This window comes from Homo sapiens, chromosome 6 (genome assembly GCF_000001405.40).
Source record: "Homo sapiens chromosome 6, GRCh38.p14 Primary Assembly".
NCBI lineage: Eukaryota > Metazoa > Chordata > Mammalia > Primates > Hominidae > Homo > Homo sapiens.
The window spans coordinates 100,422,740-100,448,869 of NC_000006.12; the positions used below are offsets into that span (position 1 = coordinate 100,422,740).

The 26,130-nt window shown below is 39.1% G+C and overlaps 1 protein-coding gene and 1 long non-coding RNA gene across 3 annotated transcripts in view, besides 3 other annotated features; one reads left to right on the plus strand and one right to left on the minus strand.

Annotated features, from left to right (window-relative positions):
- The window catches only part of SIM1-AS1 (SIM1 antisense RNA 1), a 51,311-nt gene extending 29,254 nt beyond the window's left edge, over positions 1–22,057 (plus strand). Inside the window, exons 2-3 of the long non-coding RNA NR_187148.1 lie at positions 4,379–4,529; positions 14,517–22,057. This is a non-coding gene — a long non-coding RNA (SIM1 antisense RNA 1). The remainder of the gene's footprint in view (positions 1–4,378; positions 4,530–14,516) is intronic.
- Positions 1–26,130, minus strand: part of SIM1 (SIM bHLH transcription factor 1) — a 79,913-nt gene that overhangs the window by 37,731 nt on the left and 16,052 nt on the right. For both annotated transcript variants that reach the window (NM_005068.3, NM_001374769.1), the window contains exons 7-9: positions 25,740–25,939; positions 25,407–25,513; positions 24,529–24,676 (exon numbers count right to left, since the gene is read on the minus strand). In NM_005068.3, coding sequence (NP_005059.2) covers positions 24,529–24,676; positions 25,407–25,513; positions 25,740–25,939 — 455 coding nt within the window. The remainder of the gene's footprint in view (positions 1–24,528; positions 24,677–25,406; positions 25,514–25,739; positions 25,940–26,130) is intronic.
- Positions 23,373–24,055: an enhancer, noted in NCBI's record as "NANOG-H3K4me1 hESC enhancer chr6:100893988-100894670 (GRCh37/hg19 assembly coordinates)". NCBI's record gives its function as "activates a minimal SCP1, AML or CMV promoter by ChIP-STARR-seq in naive H9 embryonic stem cells {active_cell/tissue: H9 hESC(naive)}" and the evidence as "EXISTENCE:reporter gene assay evidence [ECO:0000049][PMID:30033119]".
- Positions 24,738–25,419: an enhancer, noted in NCBI's record as "H3K4me1 hESC enhancer chr6:100895353-100896034 (GRCh37/hg19 assembly coordinates)". NCBI's record gives its function as "activates a minimal SCP1, AML or CMV promoter by ChIP-STARR-seq in naive H9 embryonic stem cells {active_cell/tissue: H9 hESC(naive)}" and the evidence as "EXISTENCE:reporter gene assay evidence [ECO:0000049][PMID:30033119]".
- Positions 25,420–26,101: an enhancer, noted in NCBI's record as "H3K4me1 hESC enhancer chr6:100896035-100896716 (GRCh37/hg19 assembly coordinates)". NCBI's record gives its function as "activates a minimal SCP1, AML or CMV promoter by ChIP-STARR-seq in naive H9 embryonic stem cells {active_cell/tissue: H9 hESC(naive)}" and the evidence as "EXISTENCE:reporter gene assay evidence [ECO:0000049][PMID:30033119]".

Below are 26,130 nucleotides of genomic sequence, written 5' to 3' on the forward strand. Positions count from 1 at the left end.
TGTTAGTTTGATTTAGATTTTCCACAATGTATACATACATTGAAACATCATGTTGTACATCACAGATATTCATTTTTTACTTGTCAATTTAAAATGGACAAAATATAATTCAGACAAGGAGTCTCTTAAGTGAGTAAGAATAGAAACCAGCTAAAACAGCTGCAACAATATCACTGCCACCAAACACAGGGCAATGATGTATATCAGCAAATTACGATGGCTTACTATCAAATAATCCATCCACTCAATGCAAGCTTTCTTTTAAAAAAATGTTCTTCTACATAAGCAGTAAAAATTTAGAAAGTGAACCTGCAGTTTGTCTTTCAGGCTTGGGAAGTCCGATCTCATCACTGGTCTACTTTTTAGCTCTAATCAACTCCAAGGACCATATAGACTCTGAGCACTCTGTCAGAAATGCAATATCCTCCAAAATGTGGCTCCCACTTATTTTTCTGACAATATTTCAAAATTTCCCTTCATCTACCCCTTGCTTCATCCAAACAGTTGTCCCTGAATTGACTTTAAACTCTCTTGGTTCTTCTTAACCTGTAAAACTCTTCTTAACTCCCACTTGCCTCTATGAAGCCCTTCCTGACTGCTAAAGCTATTTATTCAATACATATTTACTGAGTGTCTCTTCTGTATGGGGCCCTGTTCTGGGGGCAGGGAGACATCAATGAGCACAAGGACTAAGTTCCTACCCCTCATGAAGAAGGTACCAGGGCCAGTTCCTGAGTATTTTGGGGAAGGAACAAGAACTATCCTTTTCCACCTCTAGCCTTACTTTTCAAGTGATTATGTCTTATCTTTCTCAGTGGATTCTAAGTCCCTAGAGGACAAGAGTTAAGAGATATTTTATTATATTCCAATGGTCATTTGCACAGTATTTCACATAGAAGGAAGAGGCAGAAGACAACAAGGATGAAACTAAGAAAGATTGTTTTCCCCAGTGACCACTAATAACTTGCAACCCAATATCCTTTCTGCATGAGAAAAAACTCAGATGGGCTGTGAGTCCTCTGACCTACCTGCCATTAGACATCAGTGAGCCAAGTTAACTGGACTCTAACAGGAGGTAGAGCCTCCACTCTTGGGCATTTCCTGTGTCAAATGCACTTCCGTTCATTGGACAATAGTCCAGTAGACATTTAGTTCCTGCTTGACAGGATCTAGACAGACAGTAAGAATTGTGCACCCATGAAAGTTTGGCCAAATAACTTGGTAAACCCATTCCTAATGCTGCATCTCAGCCCAGGGATTTTATGGCTATAAGCAGTGAATAAACAAGGATTTATTTTTCTCTTGCACACTTTCAGACCCCACCCCCCTCCCACCCCCCGCCCAGGGTACGCATCTCACTGTTGAAGAAGTCTTACCAAAATTTTTACATGGCTTCTAATAACAGAAATACTTCAAATTAAATAGGTTTAAATAACATTTTAAACCAAGACATGGTTTTAAATTTCACATATTCACATGAAAACTAAAAAATATAAGAAGAGTTATACAAATACTCTTAATACAAATATCAATGCTTTGGTACACATTAAAAATACAAAAATAATCCACCAAAATTTAACGGAAGACCATGATGGCAGGTTGATTGATCAGTGGTTTAAGCTAACCTCTGCTTCTATGTATAGGCCTCAATTTCTTTTTTGTAACTCATATGGATTTGGTGAATTTTTTTATTTTGTTCTGTTTTGTTTTGTTTGAGACAGGGTCTCACTGTCTCATCCAAGTTGGAGTGCAGTGGTGCAATCTCGGCTCACTGCAGCCTCAACCTCCCCAGCTCAAGTGATCCTCCCACCTCAGCCTCCCAAGTTGCTGGGACTACAGGCATGCACCACCATGCTCAACTGATTTTTTTTTTTTATTTTTGGTAGACACGAGATCTCTCTGTGTTGCCCAGGTTGGTCTCATACTCCCAGGCTCAAGCGATCCTCCTGCCTTGACCTCCCAAAGTACTGGGATTACAGGGGTGAGCCACCATGATGAGCCTTGGATTTGGTGAAGTTTAGATGAAATATTCTGTGAAAAACTCAAAGCACAGTGCCTAGAACATAGTAAATGCTCAATAAATAGTATCATATCCTACCTTCCAAACTGTGTGACAATTTTTGGCACCTGCTTTCCCCAGAACAATAGTTTCACTTTGGTAGTGATTACAACACATTTCATTATAAAAACCTTTTGCTGTATTTCTTTCCTTTCTATCCCTGATATGGTTTGGCTGTTTCCCCACCGAAATATCAACTTGAATTGCATATCCCAGAATTCCCACGTGTTGTGGGAGGGACCCAGGGGGAGGTAATTGAATCATGGGGGCCAGTCTTTCTCATACTATTCTTGTGATAGTGAATAAGTCTCATGAGATCTGATGGGTTGATCAGGGATTTCTGCTTTTGCTTCTTCCTCATTTTCTCTTGCCACTGCCATACAAGAAGTTCCTTTTACCTCCCGCCATGATTCTGAGGCCTCCCCAGACATGTGGGACTGTAAGTCCAATTAAACCTCTTTTTTTTCCCAGTCTTGGGCATGTCTTTATCAGCAGTGTGAAAACGGACTAATACAAACCTAGACCATTTAAATTTACTCTGTTACTTTTTAGCTTCTAAAATCTATTGCAGTATGGCCAGAATACTTTTTAAGGTAAATTCTTTATTGCTAAGTTAGCAAATGGGGACCTTATGCTCACAGTCACTCTGAGAGGAATTTGGCCTTCCTGCTTCTCTGTTCAAAACTCCAACAGCTCAAAAGATGTGCTAGGATGGAAAGCACAATAAAAAATACCCACTTAAAGCCATTTCAAATACGGTTGATGTGCTGCCAAGAGTGAATCTGAATGGCAGATTCACTAAGAACAAAGCATTTGTTTTACTTTTAGAATTCTATTAAATTGAGCGTTTCATTTGTATAGCTTTAAGGGCTAGATGCTGATGGAAATCACATTATGAGCTCCATTTTCTTCCTCCTAACCCAGACACAAATTGTCTGGCCCTACCCTCTTCCTTTCATTTGGTGAGGCACTTTCTGGTATCACATATGTCCTCAAAGTTACATGCATGCTCAGTAGAATCATGTATTTAATGCTTCCTCATGGAGTGGAACAAAATAAAATACTCAGCTGCACAGAACTTAGACTCTTAAATCAGTGTGGTAAAAAATTTGACTTCTCTGATTTTTCTAAATGAAGGACAGCACTGCTCTCCTTCTAAAGTTTTCTTGAAAAGTGCCACACAAACCCTGTTTGGGGCTCCGTAAGGTAACTTTCTCAAGGGCAGTTCATGCTGTTCTCTCAGACATGATTGGCATATGGAAAGGAACTGTGGCACATGCCATTTGACATATCCTTCAAAAGGCTACTGAGGAAAAGTTACATTTTTTTCTCCCTTCAATGATTTGTAGAGAGCTCCACACATCTTCAGGTGCCTCAGCTCTGAAAGCAGTCTGAAATGGGAAATTTGCAATCACTAGGAATTGCAGCTTGTCAATCTCACCCATATTTGCACAGACCAAAGTAATCCTCTTATTCCATTATGGGCAGTCAGAAATCATTCAATTTGCAGAATTAACCATCTGAGTCTACTTTAAACTTTATAATAGTCATGTACATATTTGAAATAACTCAAATTCCAATAGAGAAAATGGGGCCATTTTTGTATCATTGGGCTTCCTCATCCTTCCCTTAAGCAATGCACCGTGACCACTCATGAGGCAAATGCCAACATGCCGCATGGGAAGCTCAGCGTGACACCCTTGGAAAGCCAATAGAAGGTGTCTTCACCACAAAAAGGCATTGTCAGTTCTAGAGAAATGCATTAACATTATTTCTATCATTTCAACTGGGAGAATGGCCTCCATAATACCAATAGCCAAACTAATTTACAAAGAAATGTGGAACTATTTACAATTTCAAGTGAGTTTGAATGAGTGTACAGAGAAAGCAATCAACAGTATTTTATCAGTTCTTGTTGATTCAAGATTATTTGCAAGAACTTTTCTCTTCCACCCCACCATATTCCACTTTCATTTTAGATTACTTTATTTTTGCTTCTGTCATGTCAATTTGGAGTCTGCTGGCCAATCTGGAGTTCTTTGTTGGCTTTATGTCATGTGGCAATTCTTAAAAGAGGTTGCCAGATTTCCCGATTGAGCTATTTTTTTAAACAGCTGAAGGTGATCAAATTACCAAGGAAACGTGGAAACAAAGACATACAATTGATTTGGCTCCAAAGGCGCTGATTGAAATAAGCAGAGGATTGCATTAAACCGTGATCGGATTAGGTGGGAATGACTGCGCCTTACAGTAAACTTTTTAATTGGATTCTAGAGTCACTGTTACACGAAGTGTATGACCTTCTTTATATTCTGGCAGAGTTACCGCCTGGCCACTGGGTAAACCTCCGCAGCAGAGAGACCTACTTTATGTTTCATTTTCAAGCTCCTATGGAGCCCAGCAGAGAGAGCTGACAAGGAGGAATACTGCGAGGGGCTCACAGACTAAGACAATCTGCTGGGAAATTAGGGTAAGGCACCCTTGGAAATGTAATAGTCTCATACTAATAAGTGGATTTATGTTTGCTCCTTGTAGTTTTCTCCATTTGATCTGGTGATTTTAATAGTTTTCCCAAAGTCTTTGGTTTTACATAAACATACATTGCCTCTGCCTAGAAACCATCTTTCTTCTCCACTTTGAAGGTTTCATCCAACATGCTATGGAGTGGATGGCACCACAAGGGTAAGGAATGGTTCAGACACAAAGTTTGCTATCACATTGTAATTTCAAGAAGGAAAGACATGAGTGTAATCAACAGGCAAACAATAACAGCCAAAAAGTAAGGCAAAAAAATTGTGAAATGTTGATATGTGGCAAAGTCAGTCAGCCTCATAACAGAGATTGTGTAATACCTTCACACCAACCCATGAAACAAGTGGAAATATAGCTAAATCCAGACCTGCCATCACACTACATCTAAATTTGTTTCCTCACCCCTCCAGGCCACAGTGATTTCTCCCAGCTCCTTCCTCTGAGTTCCTATACCATTCACTGCCTCAACCACTCATCTAGCATTTCTAATGTTCTGTCTTACAGTGTGGTGGCTTCATATCTTGATAGCCTCTTTCTAAATTCCTTCTCTTATAACAGCCTTTATTTACTGTCTAGACAGTATCTCACATAGAACAGATGCTCACTTGCAAGAGATTAACAAAATAATTATCTTTTAATAAATTTTGCTTATCTCAAATCCAAATGAATAAAAGTTCAAATACTGGTAAATATATTTATATAAATGAGAAAGAGATACCTACTAAGTAAGTGAGTTTATGTGAGAGATTCTTAAATTCTCAGATTATAATTAATAATGATCATTCTGAAGTTCTGTGAGGTCTTAAATTTAAAAAAAGCAAATCATGTTTTCCTGTTATGCACATTAATAAAAGGTACTTATTTTTATGAAATTATAATTCAGGCTCAGCATATGTGCTACTTAGCCAAACTGGAATTTTAAATTAATTTCATCCTCAACCATTTATTTGGACTATTACAGTTGTATTGAAGGAGTTAGAAAGATAGTGTTTTAGATGCCCAGAGAAATAACTTCTGCAAATCAATAATAAATACAATATATCTACAATAGAAAAATAAGAAAAAGATATGAACAATGCACAAATTGCTGAGAAACATTTTTTAAAGGTTTAACCTCATGAGTAAAATGAATTAAAGCAGCTATATGAATTAAAGCAGCTAACGGGTGCCTTTTTTGCTTTCAAATTAGCAAAAAATTTTAAATGACAATAAATCCAAATGAAGATAAGGTGAAATGAATGGACATGCTTATATACTACTAGTAAGACAGTAAACTGGTAGTGTTTATCAAGAGTTTTAAGAATGTTCATACCTTAAATTCAGCACACTAGTCCCCGCCTTATCCGAGGGAGTACATTCTAAGACCCCTAGTGGGTGCCTGAAATCATGGATAGTGCCAAACCCTATGCCTACATTATAGGAAATGTATGTATAGGAAAACACACACACTTTATTATATACCTATAATAAAGTTTAATTTTAAAATAGGGTATAATAAGAGATTAACAATAAAAATTGGTAATAAAATAGAACAATTATAACTACATGCTGTAATTGCATGTAAACATGCTCTTTTTCCCTCTTTCTTAAAATATCTGATTGTATTGCACTCACTTATTGTTGGACTACAGTTGACCTCATATTACTGAAACCACAGAAAGCAAAACTGTGGATAAGGGGGGACTATGGTAATTCCACCTCTGGGAATATATCTTATAAAAATAATTAGAAATAAGTATCAAGAATCTGTATACAGGGCTGGGCACGGTAGCTCACGCCTGTAATCCCAGCACTTTGGGAGGCCAAGGCAGGTGGATCACTTGAGGTCAGGAGTTTGAGACCAATTTGGCCAACATGGTGAAACCCCATCTCCACAAAAAATACAAAAAATTAGCCTGGCGTGGTGGCACATGCCTGTAGTCCCAGCTACTTGAGGGGCTGAGGCAGGAGAATCGCTTGAACCCAGAGGCAGAGATTGCAGTGAGCCAACATTGCACCACTGCACTCCAGCTGGGAGGACAGAGTGAGACTCTGTCTCAAAAAAAAAAAAAAACACACTATATACAAGGGTGTTTATCACAGCATAATCTCTTCAGTTTAATTATAAATAATCAAATAAGAAGAACCAACAATAATAGAATTACTAAATTATGATATATCCATGTGATAAAATATTATGCAGTTATTAAATATTTTGACCCTAATGACATAAAATATACCACAATAAAGTAAAAAATTATCTCTCTTTGACATGTACTGTATATGCATATTGAGAGATAATAAACTAAAACATTTAGTTAGTATTTGAAAATGCATTAAAGATGTCTTTCATCTTCTCTTTAAACATCTCTGCATTACCTTAATTTTTTCTCTAGTATGTGTGACTTTTATAATCAGCAAAATATTTCTTTGTAAAAAAACACTAATTGAGGGAAATTTCATGTACTTTCATTTCATATTAAAACTTTCTTTACATTTCCAGAATTTCTTCTTTCTGTATATTAAATTACAAAAGAGAAAGCACTAGCAAATTTCTTTTCTCAAGGTTCAGCTCCTCAGGTATACCAGCTGTAATTTTAAAATATCCACATGCTGTCTCAGTGCCTGCATGTTTCACTCACTTTCTGATCTGTTTACCACCGTTCCTACCTTATAGAATGATCTGTCTCTGAAGCCTTTCATGTGAGCTATATGACTTTCTGTTTCCTTCTTAGGAGAATATAATTTAAATTATTACCATAATTGAAAAAAAAAGAAAGTCTTGTCATGTAGTTTCTTAAAACAATTTAGTGTCATGTGGCTTATAAATGGTACATTTGTCATTGTTCAAATGAAGTAAACCCTAATGTGGGGGCCACATTTCTTGTTCTGAGGGACTTTATTATGCTCAGAAATTCATTCCATATTTAGCTACTAAAGTTTAAACATATTTGTGACTCCTTCAGGTTGAAGTTGTACATTCGACAGATCTGATATTCTTTCTGTTTCTTATTTTCTTGGAGGCTGGAGGAGGGTGTTGGTCTTTAATAGTTAGATCTGAATAAACACAAAATATGCTGCCCTTTCAAATGAGGCATATATTTAAAATTGTCAGTCTCTTCTTCCACAATCTAAACCCCTAATTGTAGCCCACTTCTAGAAAAGAATCAAATATAAAGAAAAAGTAATATTAATATCATATTAATATCAATCACATTTATATTAATTCTTTTATTTTCAAAAATAGGAAATAAAATACACATATGTTATTCGGGCTGCCTCTTTTCCATTATTTCCCACCTCCCCACCCTCTGTGTCCATCCCCCTCACCAGACCCTTCACTGTCATTTATTAAGCTAATGTTTTTCAAGTGTATGTTCCCTTTAAAAGTCTTCCAATACCTAAGAAAGATAAGTAATGGAGGATCCCATTACTGAACACCTTATATTTGGTTGAGGTTCTGTTATCACAGAAACAGCTTTCCTATCTAGTTCTTAGCAAAACTGATTCCTAAACCCTAAAAGTATCCTCTGGTGGAGGGGTGAAGGGAGCATACCTCCTGTTTTCAGCTCCACACAAACTCCAGGAACAAAAAAAATACCTGTAATAATAAAATAATTTTCCACAACACTGGGAAATTTAGACCCCATACCCAAGGCCACAGAGTCCCCAAATTCCCCACAGGATCTCACGTGGGGAGACCCCATAAGGCCAAACCTCACAGCACGGTTGGAAGCTCTGCCCTTTTCTGTACAACACAAAGACACTGGCATTTCTGTAGATTATAGAAAAATAGAGCCTCAGATTCTGAACTCCCCAGGAAATGACACCGCAAAAAATGATGGCATGATGCAATGTTTTCAAATGCACAAATCTTCATTTGTTTAACTTAAATATTTTAAAATATGTCCTATAACATTTATTCTTGATTAAACCTCTTCTAGATAGTTAATCATTAATGGTTTCTTTACAGTTGCTGTGCAAACAGTTCATTCATACCTATGACTTATCAAATCTCATAGACATGTTCTTTAATTGGATTCATTTATTTCTAATCTCCTTAAAGCCCTTACTACTGTAATGCTTGGCTAAATATACATTAAACTCTATTATTTAAATGACTAAAATAAATTTGAGATTTATTTTATGAATAAAAATTCACAATTCAACAAATGTCCTACCATTATTAGTAGTATTATTCTGTGCTTCAGTATTCAGACATTATTTTAAATTGCCTGGTAGATAAGTTGTGTTTAAACAAAATAAGTTCTGAGTATTTGCTAGAGATTTTGGATTGCCCACTAAAACACCAAAATTTTCATTGTCTCTATCCTTGAAGTCAGAGAACTTGTATAATACTACACAGAATACGTAGTTAACAACAGAGCCCGTTACCAAAGACAGAATAGGCAGCAGCAGCAGGTTTTTATGATTTATAGGGCTTGAGAAAGTTCCCTGGCCATGACGAAGATGTCTCAATAGTGGTCCAATAGCTGATGCTTAAAATGCGTTTATTCATATTTTAATCTATTTGTCTTAAGCCGATGGCCCAGAAAGAGATAATAGTAGGGCTGGATGAGTGATGGCTCATTCATTGGCCAAAGTGGGAGGATTGCTTGAGGCCAGGAGTTCAAGAACAGCCTTGACAACATAGCAAGACCCCATCTCTATAAAAAATAAAAAACAATTAGCCAGACCTAGTGGTGCACATCTGTAATCCTAGCTACATGAGAGGCTGAGGCAGGAAGATTGATTGAGCCCAGCATTTTGAGGCTGCAGTGAGCTATGATCATGCCATTGCACTCCAGCCTGGGTGACAGAGTAACACACTATCTCTTAAAAAGAGAGAGAGAGATAATAGTGTATGCCTCATGTGTTATCATTTATTGATTCAGTTTATCAGCTACTTTCCTGAAAGCAGTAGTTCTAAAACTTCAGCACGCCTCGGAAGCACCTGAAGAGTGTTAACACACAGCTTGCTGGGCTGTTTCCCTTAGAGTTTCTCATTTGTAGGTCTGGGGTTGAGCCCAACGATTTGCATTCTTAACAAGCTACTGGGTGGTGCTGATGCTACAATCAGGGGCCATACTTTGAGAGCTAAACCAGTTGTTATCTGAGTGGTTGTTGTTGTTGTTTAAATGAAAGGAATCAGATGAAAGGGGACCACAGAGAAGATAAGAAACCACTGAAAAGGGAGGGTTCCAAGGACAAAATTCAAGCTTCACACTTTCCCCAAGGCGTACCTCACTGCATATCTTCCACTGAAGTACTCCCACCCCTACTTCCAACTGCTTACTTCCTCCTAACCTCCTTTTGAGTGCCTCTTACTTCTGCAGACCCCAAAACATTGCATAGCTGCAGGGTTTAGTCTTCAGGATGCTTCTTTTCTATTAACACATACTCTCTGGGGATCTCATCCACTCTGCTGACTTTAAATTCCATACACTGTTTACCCCCAGTATCTAGGCCAGTCCTCCCAACTCCACAGCACCCCAGATTCAACTGCTTACATGACATTTCCACTCTGACGAATGACGGGCATCTTGAAGCTAAACATGTTGTCCACACACAACCCTCATTGCTGCCTCTGCCTGCTAAACTGTTCCTTCCCACCATTTACCCAAGTTGCTCAGGCTAAAAAATCTAGGTGTTGTTCTTGACTCCTTTCATCTTCTCACATCCCATATCCAATCTATCTGCAAATCCCATTGGGCCTACCTTCAAAACATATGCCAAATCTGACCCCTCACCACTACCCCATCTTTCAAGTCATCACCTTCCCTCACCGAGGCAATTACAATCATTTCTCAATGGTATTCTCCATCTCCACCATCCATACTCTCCAAACCAGTCAGAATGATCTTTTCTTATACAATCAGATCATGTCATGCCCGTGTGCAGAATTCTCCAATGGCTTCCCAAAACCTTCAAGATCCAAGGCGATCTGGCCCTGCCTATTCTTCTAGCATCATCTCCTTCCATTCTTCCCCCTCCCTTACTCAGTGGCCACCACAGTGACCTTCTCTGTTCCTCAACATGCCAAGCAGGTTTCCACCTCAGGGCCTTTGCATTCACTTCCCTCCATCGGGAATACTCTCCCTGTAGGACTCCACATGGCTGGCTCCCTTCCTTCATTTATGAATCTTTAGAGAAACCTTTCTGACCATCCCTACCTCTTTGTCCTGCTTAATTTTTCTCCTATCACTTTCTGATATTATATGACTTTTTTATTTCTTTATAAGTACTTTATAAGTATATTAAAATTTATACTCAAATTAGCCAGGTGTGGTGGCACATGCATGCCATCCCAGCTACTCCGGAGGCTGAGGCTGTGGGAGGATCTTTTGAGCCTGGGAGGTCGAGGTGCGGTGAACCATGATCTTGCCACTGCACTGCAGCCTGGGCAACAGATTAAGACCCACCCCCCCACCCACACACACACACACACACACACACATATAATGTATATTTTTTACATATACATATATATTTAAAAACTTACATTTCATGAGGGTAGGGACTTTGTCTCTTTCAGCCACACTGTAGCCCTACCAGGGCCTGGCACACAGTAGGCACTAGGGAAATATTTGCTGAGTGAATGCATGAACCATCCCCAGCTTGTCATAGAGATGACTACACTCTAAAACATTTCTTACCGTTACCTTAATTACAACAACAGAGATTAAGCTGATTCTAATGATAGAAATTTGTTTGTAATGAAGGTCCTATTGAGTCAACCAAGAAGAGACACAAATAGAAAAGAGATTATTCTGTAAAGTGCCATGTAACGTCTGTAAATATTTTCTTCCTGGTTTTCAATTAGCCTTCACAATAAAATGCTATCCTGCACGTTGCTATTTCTTTAACTGCTCTAATTGGAGGAATGAAATTGACACCCACTCTGCCCTCCCCTTTGTGGGCTTCATTCTTCTAGCATTCCTGAGCTGTAACCCTGCAAGGGTCCATTACCCAAATCCAACACAACAAATACTTCACTACGCCAGGACTGTGGTAAGATTTCAACAGTGAATATAAATGCTGTGCCTTCCAACACTATTAGTCTCTTAACGGCCTATCAAAATTAAAATGAAAAACTCTGTGTTGCATTTGGCTTGATCTGATAACAAGCAGCTCTTTGCCTGTCGCTTGTTTGGACACCAATATCAATTAATGGGAGGTACTGAAACAAGTGAAGCTCCTGGTTCAGTCACAAGAACACGTTATAGTCATTACAAGCACGAGAGTAAAATGAATGGCTGAAGAGCAGCCGCAAACCTGTAAGAATGCTCAGAACCAGGGATTCTACCTTTGTTAACGGTTTTCAGTAGGAAGAGGTGAGAGACAGCACATTCTAAGATCGCATTTTACCAGAGAATGTTGCTATTCTTGGAGAGATGTAAAAAGTGGCAAGGGACTTGGGTTTAAAAGCACAAACACAGAGAGAATCCCACCTTAATGGGTACCATTATGATATCCAGTTCAATATAATGAGGCTATTTCTACAATCTACCCATCAGCCCATATTAGCACGCTTTACTGATGCGGATACAACAAATTCTGTTTGAACAAGAAATCCCTGGAGCGGGGGTGGGGGAAGGATCCATTCACAGGCCCTATCCATTTAGCAATCAATCAAAGAAAAAATATTCTTCTAGTAAAGACAGCAGCTCCCATTTGAATCCTCGTAAAATATTAAATGTTCTAAATAAAATAATTTTCTGTGGGTGACACGTTGATTGTTGTTTTGTGAAAACATCATGACTGTTGATGCTAAAATTAGTGAAGAAGAGATGGGCTCAGGATATCGACTGGCAATTGAGCAGGTCCCAAGTATACCCAAACTCTGAAGAAACTGAGTCACTTTGTGGAGACCCCATATTAAAAAAGAGAGTAAACTGTCCATAGACCATGCAAAATATTGGCAAAATGTCATAAATGACTATGTAAGTATTAGGTGGAATCATATGAAATTGCCAATATTGAACTGTTTTAATGTATAGAAGTGACAATTTCATATGGTTCACCCTAAAACAGCATTATCCACTTAAAGAAAGCATGCCAAAGAGGAAAGCAGGTGGATGCTGGAGTCCAGACCCTGGGTTGGTATGCTCGCTGGACCACTCACTAGCTATGTTGTATTGGCTGAGTCACTTAGCTTCTCTGGCCTCTCACACAAAGCAGCCGCCCTTCAGATGTGAGTCTGTCTTACTCCTCAGCCTTCCTAAGCATGCAATGAACAAAACAATGTGCCACGCCTCTTTCAGCTTAGAGCTAACAACCACCTCCCAGTCTCTCCCAGACAGAGGAACAATACCTGAGAATTACCTCTTATAAAAGAAAAAAGAAGCAAAAAAAATTATAAACATCCAAAATAATTGACAACATATTTCAAAATGTAATACATCTGCAAAGACTATTTTGAATCTAGAATTCTTTAATTTAAAAATTCACTGAGATTCATAATCCTATCAGAACTCAAACCCCAAAATTTTGAAAAATCCCATCTGCAGCAGGACAAAACATCATTCCAACAGGACAAAAATCAACACAACTGCTCCCTCTCCCTGAGGCAATGAGATAAACAGGGCCCACCCTGGGTAACGTCCTTGAGAGAGTTAAAGTTGAACTCCTTAATCTGTAGCCAGTTACCTTGCTGCCAGTCATGAACTCCCTTACCATACACATCACACACACACACACAGACACACACACACCCCTCCCAAGGTGCCCAACTCCTCCCACTGTCTCTCCTCCCTACCTACTATCTAGCCAGAAAGCAGTCTAACCACACCTGTGAGCTCATTTTTCAGGAGTGACCCAAACAGTGCCAAGGTGCTTTAGGCCCTCTTCCTTCTAATTGTGAGTGGACGTACTTTCCTCCATAAAGGCATCTCAGTTACCAGCAAGCCCACAGGGAAATCAGGCTAGGATACAGCTTGGACATATGCTTATTTCTTTTCCCTACAGACACTGTCTTACTCATTTTGATGTCCTCTGAACTGTGCACAGTGCTTGGCACATAATAGGTGTTCAATAAGCCTTTTATGAATGCTTAAAGGCCACTAGTCCTAACCAATTGAAGGAGGATCTTTCCAGATGCATCAAGATAATTGCTGATTTCTTGTTCTTGGGCCACCATCTGCTTCCTAAGACTCATGCTTTCCCTCCATTGGTCCAAAGACTCACACACATTTATTTTGTGTTCATTGGCAAGACAAAAATTATTTTATTCAATTTCACTAAAATAACCACTGTAATAATTCACATGTACTCAGTGTTACTTTGTGTTGGGCACAGGGCCACCAACCTTACACATGATCTCATTAAATGTTCCAATTGACTCTATGAGGTAGAACCCATTATTACCCGCATCTTACAGGTTTTTGTTGTTGTCGTTGTTTTTTGTATTTTGTTTTTGTTTTTGTTTTTGGTATTTTTTTTTTTTTTTGAGATGGCCTCTTGCTCTGTCACCAGGCTGGAGTGCAGTGACACGATCTTGGCTCACTGCAGCCTCTGCCTCCCAGGTTCAAGCAATTCCCCTGCCTCAGCCTCCCAAGTAGCTAGGACTACAGCCCGCACCACCACACCCGGTTAATTTTTTGTATTTTAGTAACGACGGGGTTTCACCATGTTGGCCAGGATGGTCTCGATCTCCTGACTTCGTGATCCACCTACCTCAGCCTCTCAAAGTGCTGGGATGACAGGCATGAGCCACCACACTCGGCCCATTTTACAGATTTTTTAAAAATAGAGAGATAGTGTAGTTAAGCAATTTGTCCATAGTCACTGGGCTAATGAGTGGCAGTGCTAGGGAACGGACAATAGACTCTACATTCTAGAGCCCAACTTCTTAACTAATATGCCATGTCACAGGATAAAATATTATGATACCTCATTTGATAACATATTTTTCAAATACCTTGTAATGCATTCCTATGTTTTTCAGAGTTTGAAACATCCAACTAAGAAGCCTAAGGTTTAGACTGCATCATATTCTAATAACAACAGGATTATAATATCAAATGAGACTCTCTGACCCTGCAAATCTGGAACCAGCTGTATAGGGACTTTGAACCTCCCTTTTCTCCAATCTGCTGGTGTTTGTCATCCTAATATATACCTCATATTTTCTTTCTGAAAATAATTTTTAAAATATACCCATCATACATACGGCAGCACAGTGTATTCGTTTCAATAAGATTTACATTCAGAATATTGATATCCAAAAAAAAAAATTTTAAATGGTGTTGTATGTCTAGATGCTAAAAAGAAAAAAAAACATATTTATTACTAAAGCTGGGTGAACTTGTTAATTATATATCAGTACCAATTTGGGAAAGGCAAGAGACTGTGCCTCCCTGGCACGAAGAAGGTGCTCCATAAATGCTGACGTTTCTCCCTCTGCATGGAAATCTCTGCTTCCTTTAGAGTATCAATGACAACAGTGAAAAATAGAGTGAGCCTGACCAAACTGCAGAAATCACCACATACAAAGAGCACAAAGCTTGGAGGTTTGTGTGTTGTGGGACTGGGGAATGGAGAGAAAATAAACACCTAAATGTGTGGGTTTGAGGATATAGAGAAAATAGTTTCCAGTCCTGATGAAACATGCTCAGTTCTGGATCCCCGTCTCTCACCTTGTACAAAAATCAACTCAAGAAGGATCAAAGACTTAAATCTAAGACATGAAATTATAAATTCTAGAAGATAACATTGGAAAAACTCCTCTGAACATGGATTTAGGCAAAGAATTCATGGCTATGACCCCAAAAGCAAATGCAACAAAAATGAAAATAAATAAATGGGACCTGATTAAAAAAAAGCTTCTGCGTTGCAAAAGAAACAATCAGCAGAATAAACACACAACACACAGATTGGAAGAAAATATTTGCAAACTGTGCATCTGACAAAGAACGAGTATTCAAAATTTTCAAGGATCTCCAACAAATCAACAAGAAAATACAAATAATACCATCAAAAAGTAGGCAAAGGACATAAATAGACATTTCTCAAAAGAAGATATACAAACAGCCAACAAACGTATGAAGAAATGCTCAACATTACTAATCATCAGGGGAATGCAAACTAAAACCCCAGTGAGGTACCACCTTACACCTGCAAGGATGGCCATAATTTAAAAATCAAAAAGCAATAGATATTGGTGTAAGTGTGGTAAAAAGGGAACACTTTCACACTACTGATAGAAGTGTAAATTAGTACAATCACTATAGAAAACAGTATGGGCATTCCTTAAGGAACTAACAGTAGAACTACCATTTGATCCAGCAATCCCACTACTGGGTATCTACCCAAAGGAAAATAAGTCATTATATGAAAAAGACACATGCACATGCATGTTTATAGCAGCCCAATTTGCAATTGCAAAGATATGGACCAATCTAAGTGCCCATCAACCAATGAGTGGATAAAGAAAATGTGGTATATATATACTGTGGAATATCACTCAGTCATAAAGAGGAACAAAATAATGTCTTTTGCAGCAACTTGGTTGGAACTGGAGGCCACTGTTCTAAGTGAAGTAACTCAGGAATGGAAAACCAAATATCATATGTTCTCAGTTATAGGTAAGAGCTAAGCTATGAAGACCCAAAGGCATAAGAATGGTATAATGGACTTTGGGGCTTCCAGGGGAAAGGTTGTGTGGGGTGAGGAATAAGACTGCATATTGGCTACAGTGTACCCTGCTTGGGTGATAGGTGCACTAAAATTTCATAAATCACCACTAAGGAATTTATCCATGTAACCAAAAACCGTCTGTACCCCCAAAACTATTGAAATTTAAAAAAAAGAAACATGCTCAGTTTCAAGAATGAAGTTCAAGGTGAAGAATGTAAAGAAAGAGAGAAAACCTAGCTTAAACAAGAGCAGTGAGACCATCACTGTTTGAACCTAATTTGAAGAGTGATACTAACAGTGTTACAAGGAGTGCTTACTGGGAAAAGAACAACATGACAAATGTATATAGGTCATTGACCCATCTCAAAACACTCTACTTCTGCTTCCAACCCTTAAAATTCCATCCTTTCCCTGATAGCTCTACTGTCACTTTGAGCTCCTTTGTATTCTGTGTCCTTAGCAAATGGTGCAAGTATACTATAACATTGCAAACTGAGCTAATCTGAACTTCTCAAAGATTTCGATGGAACTCTTCTATTTCACCAACTAAATTGTCAACTGCTTGATAAATGCTAAGATTCCTACTTCATGTAATCATGCAATTAATCATTGCAATCTGCTATACTCTGTGAAACACTGGTATACAGCCACACTCAGTCCATGTAGAACAATGAGGAATATACAAAAGGCTCCACTGAACACCATCAGAAATGTCAATGTTTGGTGTTTTATGCACATTAAATTATAACTATTGGTAAAGTTGACAAAACACTGATTCCAACTAAATTACCCTAGATATTTGGTTAGTTTCTTATGATCTCTTTTTCCCCAAGAAACTAACCTATGTAAAACACCTTCCACACTCTCTAGCACAAAGAAAGTGCTCAATAAATGCTGTGTTTTCTCCCTCTACATAGAAATCTCTACTCCCCTTAGAGCATCAAGACTACAGTGAAAAACAGGGTGAGCCTAACCAAACTGCAGAAATCACCACACACAAAGAGCACAAAACTTGGAGGTTTGTGTGTTAAGGGATAGGGGAGGGAAGAGAAAATAAACACCTAAATTTATGGATTTGAGGATACAGAAAGTCAAGTTAAGGAGAAAACAATGAATTCTCTTTCAAAGTATTTTAGTTGACATTACATAATTGGCAAGAGCTAATAAAAACAGCTAAGAAATACTAGGCACCTGCTTTCTGTCAGATACTGTGCTATATTCTCTCTCTATATTATATCATTTAATCCTCCATAAATCCCCAAAAGGTGGGTACGAATGTCCCCATTTCACATATGGGGCAACAGAGGGTCAAAGGGGTAGAGTGATCTGCTCAAGGCCTCACAGCTATTATGTAGCATAGTCTTCATTCTAACCCAGGCCCATCTGGCACTAAAGCCCATGCCTTTGTTTCACAGATTGCTTGGAAAATGATACTGTGGGTCTTTATAAAAACAAAATCACAATCCTACTGCAATACCACTTTCTGGAGATGGCCCAGGCTCAGCCAGACCCCAAACATTGTCAATGCCCCACAAAGTAACTTCTCCTTTCAGTTCCATGATCACCAAGGAGGAGCCCTCTTCCCGGCCAGCTCCCTGTCCTTGCAATGCCAAGGCGAGGAGAAAGGGAGATGGAGTCAGGGAGTTTACTCCCTCAGGCAAGCCAGAATGCTAAATTCCTCTATTGACAGGTACTCAGGAATTCCAAATTTCGTCTAAACTCCAACCAATCCTTTTTTGCATGAAGGCTTAATTATAGACACTAGCATTTCAGCTCCAGTGAATTTTCTATGATCACCTGCTCATCTGGAAAGACATCATAAGCCAAGAACAGAGAAGGAAGTATTGGTTAAGGTGAGAGCAGTGGCAGCCTTTTACTAAATTATGAAGATATGTATAATCCATCCCACCCCCCACCACACACACATCTTGTATCAAACATAACAGTGTTTCCCATGTGAGTAGACTAAGTCAGGAGACAAAAACATGTTTTTCTGGAGTTCAAGTAAAGCCTCCCTTGAATTTCTCCATCCATTCACAATAACATATATGGGTGCCTGCCTTCATATGAGGCAGTGATCCGTATTTTTCTACAATGTGAGTCAAAGATCAAAACCCTTTTTTCCCAACAGCCAGACTAAGAGAAAGCCAGAGGAAAGTAGACAGGCTGGTCATTCAATACACACCAAGTGGCCTCTACCCAGGAACTAAAGGGAAACTCCTATGAATCAGTGTCCTTCAGGTCAGAGCAACAACAGAGGAAGGAGTGGAGGCCAGAGAGGCCTGGGGAGGGAGAAGTAGTTGGATAGTGGCAGTGCCAAGGGGCCAGAGGATGGCACAGCAGACCCAAGAATACTAGGAAGTTCTCTATCCCAGGCCTCTGAATAGAACCCCCAGGGGGCCTCCCCTGCTGCCATATATCCCCTCCATTCTCTCTCAAAGGCAGAAAAGGGTCAATTCCTTCCTCTCATCCCATCCCCATGGGGATGTACACACACACACACCATGTAAGAAATACACCCCTGCCACAGCAGGCAATTTGCATCACATCTGACTTGGTTTGCAAATCTACTGACATTTCGGTTAACTCTTTTGTTTAGCAAAAACATAAAATGTTAAATCTGGTTGCAGAAATAGAATAATTAGTAATAGCAATAATGTACTTCTATAATCTAGGACCAAGCAATTCAGTAAACAACTAAAATGTTTGCAGGCTACATTTTCTTCTTACAAAATGAAAATGTCCTTAGTGAAACTTATGGGGAAAAAATGAGACATTCTTAATTGAATGTCATTGAGAAGATAGAACAGCTAAATTTTAGCTAGGAAAATGTCAATATCTGCGCACCCTTGTGAAGCAACCACAAAGAGGCAGCTTCTTAATCTTCCATCATTAATTCAGATCAAAGCCTATCTTGAAGTTTTGTGGGCTGAACACTACAGGCCTCACTCATTCAAATCCATCCCTGTCTCTCAGACATCTTTCCCACAACCACCTTCCACTTCCACCCCTATACACAGAGAACAGCAGGATGCAGTAGGAGTGACACACCAGCTTTTAATTCTGGCTTCACTACTTACTCAGCATATCTGAGCCTCAGTTTCCACACCTAAAAATACAAAAAGCAATCTCCGACCCAACCACTGTGCAGAGCCATCAAAGAAGCAAGTCAGGTAACCAATGTGACAGCACTTTGAAACAGATACGAATTCAGCATTTGTTTAAAAAAATACAAAGTCTGTAAGTTCATGAAAGATGAATTCAAAACCAAATACAGATCCTTTTGATAAAATACAATAATAAGGAAAAAGTGTATGAAGAATAAGATTATTTAAGTGAGTATTTAACTGGTATTATGTATTTCAAAAGAGACTAAATCTCCCAGCTCTTCCTTTTAACTAAGTGTTTTGGTAGTTATAAAATTAGTATTAATACAAATATATCTTCAATTTGTTTTTATAATCATTAAGTTACATGAAAGATCATCTGAAAAGAACAACTGTGACTCTGATGTTCAATATTATCTTAGTAAAGATTAAACACAATTAAGGATCAAATCTAATTTACGGGTATACATTAGTGCATGATTATTATTTTGGAAGATCAAAAGATTAAGTCTATACAAATGCTCCAGAGAGTAAATTATCTTATATTTTCTGAAGCTTGCTAAGTGAAAAGGTGTTTCATTTTATATTGTTTGTATTTATATTTTTGTAATACAAAAGTGATTTTGCTAACCAGGAAAATAAATTGTACTCCATAACTATATATGTTATTGGTCAAGTTTTTTTAAAGCATTCTCTAAAAACTCCTAGTAATAATAATAATATATCACTGGTCTTTAAATAAGTAATTTTTAAAAATTTGAAAACCCAAATTAACCCAGCACAAATAATGTACCTAAAAGAGGAAAGCAATATGAACATATTTTAATGTTTGCTGCTTTATGGCAAGGATATGTCGGGTTTTATATTGACAGAATATGTTAACATTTAAAATCCTTTTTAATTCTAAGAACTACAGTGGTTCTCATAATGGTAAGTTGTTGTGGTTAACATACCATATGCAAACAACAACAAAAAGTATAGGATCTGCAGTAATTACAATATAGAGCCCCCTTTTTTTTTCATTGACATGAAGGAAGTACTGTATGTCACCTTTGGTATTTAGCCTAACTTTTCTATGAATTCAAAAGGGGTATTTAGTAGACAGCAAATGTTACATACACTACCAATATAAATTGTCTCTATTTGTTCTGCTTTTAGTAACACAGAAATAGAAGTTTTAACATAGAAAACTACTTCCTCATATATGTTCAGTGAATCACTCTAAAATACCATGTGAGATTTTCTAGGAAAGCAATGTTCCATCCTAAACTTAGAAAATAAATAAGCAGAGAAGCTGTCTTTGCTAAGAAAAAGAAGTTGAGATGTTAAATCTGTCTGATTCCAAAATTTCCAAATTACTCACTAAATCTATTCTCTCTCTTTTACTTTCCAGACATAATATCAGAATTGTATTAGCTTGCAAGTCTTATTAGAAAGCTAGTTTAAAATACAGTATCATTTAGAACTTTCTATCCTACGAAAGTCTCCTCACAAAATATCATCTATCCATCAGCCTAATTGAGATCATACACCAATGAGTACTTGACGAACATTAGTGGCAGATTGTTTTTAACGGCACCAGTAAACTAGCTCTCAACTATATTTTTGCAAGCTCTACACACAATAATTTTTAACATTTTAAATGTGTCATCATAAATGATACAGTGGCTACGCAGGAAAATGCTATTCAAGGATGAAGCACCATGATATCTGTGGCTTACTTTGAAGTGATTTAGCAGGAAAAAAAATACACATTAAAAATAGGCACACATATAGGTAGAGAGAGATATAAAGCATATTTTTATAGGAAAATATTAACAGTTGTTGGATGTAGATGATGTGAATATGGATATTCATTTACTTCTCTTTTAACTTTTATATTTGCAAAGTTTATGTTTTAAAATATTTTTAAATAGGAATTTTATACTCTAGTGGGTTATCTTTAAAAGTGGCAGAATATTTCTTATTTTAAAAATACATGTAGTCTGAAAACATAAATAGAACCAAGACTCTTAATTTTCTTAGAAATTGTTTTTCATAGTTTATTAGGTGTTCTACATTTTCTTTACATTAAAAACTAAAGCTTTCCATCTGAACTGGCTATGAATAATTAATAATACTAATTAAACTCAAGAAAATATGAATTCAAGAAAACTCACGTAGGTCTTTACACAGTATACTCCATATATTCTGGACTTTCCCCGACATCCTTGTTACTAGACACTAGTTCCATTCACCTACCCTCTTGAAAATAACCAGAGATCAAGGCCTGTCATACTTAACACTTATTTCAAAGCCTGAGGATACTCATAACTTATAAGAAAAATCTTTTTTAAATGTGTAAAGCTAACAGGGTATGTGTGTCTTGCAGAAAATTATGAACTGATCAGTGTTTTGTTTTGTTTTCTTTTGTTTTGGAGCAAGGGTTTAATGAAGAGCTATAGAAGCTTCACTGAACCTCGGAGACCCAGAAAAACTAAGGGAATTTTCGGAATTTACTCATAGTATCTTCTCACTCTCCTCTCCAGATTTTCAGAACATATGGTGGGCATACAGAAGTCAGTAAAAAGCATCAAGGCGTATACCACCTGCCTCTAAAATCATCCAGTTTTCCTATATGCCCTGTTGCAACTGCTTATTAAAACAAGGTTGCTAAATAATTCATTGTTGCTTTTGTTAGATAATAATAACTTATTTTTTAGGCATATTTTAACTTCAGCAATAAATCAGGAAATTAGAAAATCAACGAGCTTATGAATGTTGCCTCCACCAAAACATCACAACCTCATTTGACCAAGGCTTATTTTAAAACCTCTACTTTCATGACATGAAAATCCCTTTAAAATGTATGCTATTGAAACGTTTAAATTTGAAAAACATCTGGCATGTCAAACTATTTGGGAGCTTGTGGTTTTAAGTACTTTGTTTGAGGTGGTGTATTTAGAAAGAATTCACTTGTCATTCTCAGGCTTCATAGGGAAGTAGCCCTAAAAAACAAATGTATGTGGTAGTTCACTACAACCATGGAGAATCAATAGCCATCTATTTAATTTGCTAAGACAATGTAAATTAGTAACTTCCAGCCAGATGTGTGATATGCACATCAAACAAACTGCAACCTGTTCATTATGAAAATCCTGTCAACACACACTGAGCCACTTGATGACATTTCGTCTAAAGCAATTTCCACATTTGCAGCTATAAAAATTGTCCTAAGAATTTTTCTACAAGAAATTGAAGCTGAGACTCATAAAAGGGTAATCAATTTCAGCTTTTCATCTTGTGTGCTGTGTATATATGCTTCTGTGTGTTTATTTCCATTTTCATTCAGAGGTATAAAATGTTTTAACAATGTGCACCATGCTCTTTTTCCTTCTATTAATCATGTATTTATCCTCATTACATCTTTTTAAATGTGATGTAAAGTTGATCATCTAATTATACAGTTCTGAAGGAGTATGTAAAGTCAGGAATGACAGAATCAACAGAAGAAGAAATGTACACTTATCTACTGGAAAACAAAACAGAATATTTCAAAATGACTCCAAACATAAATTAAGTTTACCCATTGGGAGGTCTAACTTGCATTTGGATCATTTATATGGGTCTGTGTGACTATATACCCTGCTGTTTGATAAAAAATGATTACTAACCACAGGCACCCACCAGAGAACAGAGTGTATGTGTAATGCTTGTGATGTCTCAGACATACAAAGCACCTTCTTAAAGAATGTCCGTTTCCTTTCCATGGTAAGCGGACATAATTTTTCACCCTTTAATACTACTGTTTCACGGAGGGGGCTATTTTATGTATTATGCTTTGCCATTCTCTCTTGCATTTATTTTAATAATATGAAGAACTGTATTCATGAAATTGATAGTTTTGTTTCATGAAACCCAAAATGTTGGTGAATTTTGTTTTGTATTAAAATACACAGCCTTCTTGATATTACAAGAATTATATAATATTAACACCGTTTACTAAGATAAAAAAATTAAAAGATTATTCCTAATTGCCAGCTACTATTCTTGAATGTTGAATCCTCATCTAAGCCAAATTCATTTTCTAAGTCTATTGAATTAAATTTTTTTATTAAACAAGACACAGAACAAATAGTCTCACTGCCAAGCATAATATTTCCAACTACTACATTTTTAATTTGGCAATTTAAAACAACGTGAAACGAATCTAGTCCTTATCACCTATAGTATAGTCTGATTCCAAATAGCACCCCTTCACCAACTTCCTAATGTCTAAATAGCATTCTACTAAGTGCCTGGTGTGTCAACACTTCCAGCTTCCAAAGTAAACAACCCATGAGATCCCCTAAAATCACAAGAATTTCAACCTCTACCAAAAAAAGCGTGGGGAGAGCGCAACAGCACACACAAGAGTTCTTCATAAAGGCTTCAACCCTAAGCAATTCAACTTCCACAAACATTGTACAGAACACGCTTTCTTCACCAGCCGCACACCAGGCCACGTGATGAGCCTGCAGGGCCACACTGGCAACCAGAAACGATTATTGTTTCTAGAAAGAATAAGGCTCAAATGCAGGCCTCTGCAGCCTCCCTGTCATTCGCGCCCGCAGGTGGCACCCAGAGCTCCGCTCCTCACTCAGTGAAGCAATTACGCCCCGCGCGGGGCCTGGGCGCCGGCCAAGACTTGCAGCGTTCTCTTGGGTCCCTTAGCTTTCTACGAGTTAAAGTCAGATCCTCCTGGTCACTTAAGCCCCCTTTGTGGTTCAGGGGGGAAGCCACTCTCTCAGAACTCTTAACTTTGATTGGAGACTCTGGTTAAAATTAAGAACTTCAAACCCCAGATTTGAAAAAATGAAACAGATGTCCTGTTTGTTAACCATAAATGCCTCCGTACTTAGATCCTTTCCTCTCTCTCTCTTTCTTTCTGCCGCATTAAGTTTTATTTAATGCAGAGTTCGCTTAAAAGGTTAAGAGAGAAAAAGAAAGAGAAGAAAGCAAATATGGACTGTGATGGAAAAACTCCTAAATCTTTCTCTAGAATATAACGAAGAAAACCTCTTCAAAAAGATGAAAGTGTTCGATCTGCCTCCTCTTGGCGCAGCCAGCACTCGAGGGTCAAAATGGCATTCCCCGTGGCCCGAGCCTTGTCTAACCCGGCCGTGCCGCCACCCGCACTCTCGCAGAGAGCAGGGTCGCCTGGGGTGGGTGAAGGGGTCTCAGTCTTGCACTCACGTGAGGACATAGTTGACGCTGACGATACAGTGTGGCCTGGAGGAGCGACTGTTGTGCACGATGGTCGCGTAGCTCTGCACCCATACCCAGCCGCCGTGTTTCGCCAGGAACCTGTAGTACTTGGTGGTCACCTGTCCCTTCACCAGCACTGACGGAGAGACAGGAGGCAGATGGTGGTGAACCAGCCTGCCTGGGACTGGCCCCAAATGCAATCCCTGGTGGTAAGAATTGAGGGCTCCCTGTGGGCCCTAATAACTGCACCAGGCAGGAGAGAGAGAGAGACGACAGGCAAATTCCCAAAGGAACTGATTGTCCCGTGGTATTGCATCGAGCCCTCCGGTCACCCTTCTAGGGATGATACAGGGGTGGCCAGATGTCTTCACCATTAGCAAAGGGAGGAACACTTAGAGTTTGGAGGTTTCCTCCAGATTCGCTTTTCTAACTACGGAAGTAAGGCTCTGGGCAGCTGAGCTCCGGCGCTCACGATCCCTGCCCGGGAGATTACGCTCAAAGCAAAGCTGTATCAAAAGCCAGGCGAGTCAACGCAAGTGAGCGCCAGCCTTGGTTTTTGTTCATCTTTAGTGTGGTTCACAGATGTGAAAAAATACCAATAGGAGAGTAATATACCTTCGCCGGGGGCGGGGGACGTATTTCGCCCAGAAATGCTTCTTCCGCCTATATTAGCGGCCCGCGGATGTTAGAGAATTTAGGTGGGCCCAGTGTCGGAGAAGTCCCTCAGGAGGCCTCACACACCACCACCACCCGGCTCCCTGGGCTCCCACCTGTCCTCTTGCGAGGGATTTAAATCGTGGCTCCCCCACCCCCTAACCAGCGGATGCGCCAAGGTTGCTAGGGTACGGGGCAGGGTGGCGCCTTACGCAAATGGTGCGCGCAGCGCAGGTGGAAGGTGTCGCAGCCGTGCACATGGTGGTACAGAGTCTTCTCAATCAGGTCCTGAGGTTCGTACCCCGTCAGCTCCGCCACCCTGAGGAGAGCAATCCCTGCAGGATGAATGCAGGCGCGGGTGCAGGGATGCCCTCCCCACACACCCTCGACAGCCGTCTGACACCTAGCTGTCCGCCCTCACTTTCCAGGGCCGATTCAGTCGCCTCATGTGCAAAATGGGCTCATAGGATAGACGGAAATCTCTCAGTCACTAAGCAGGGCCGCCCTCAGGCTAGGAGAGGCCCTTTCCGGCCCTGCCCACCCACCTGGAGTCCAGAAAGATGAGCTTCATGTCCAGGCTGGCGCGGAACATAAACATATTGCTGTGTAGCTTGATCTCCGTGACGGCGCTGGGAGGCAGCGAGTGGCCCACGGCCACCAGGCCCACGTTTTGGTAGCAGCCGTCGAAGGGGGACATGTCCAGGCTGTACTGGCGGATCTTCAAGTAGCCGCTGCAGTGGATGACCTGAGGCAGAGGGATAGGGAGGGAGACTCAGCCACAGGTAGGAAGAGCCCCCAAAAGGTGGAGAAGGGGTTGAAACATGTTGAAACTCTGCTTAGCCCCAAAGCAGTGCTGACCACGCCCGTGCACTAAGGAATCCAAAGTTACTGGTGCTCTAAGGTGTCTTAAGAAAGTGACTGCACAGCCACACTGAA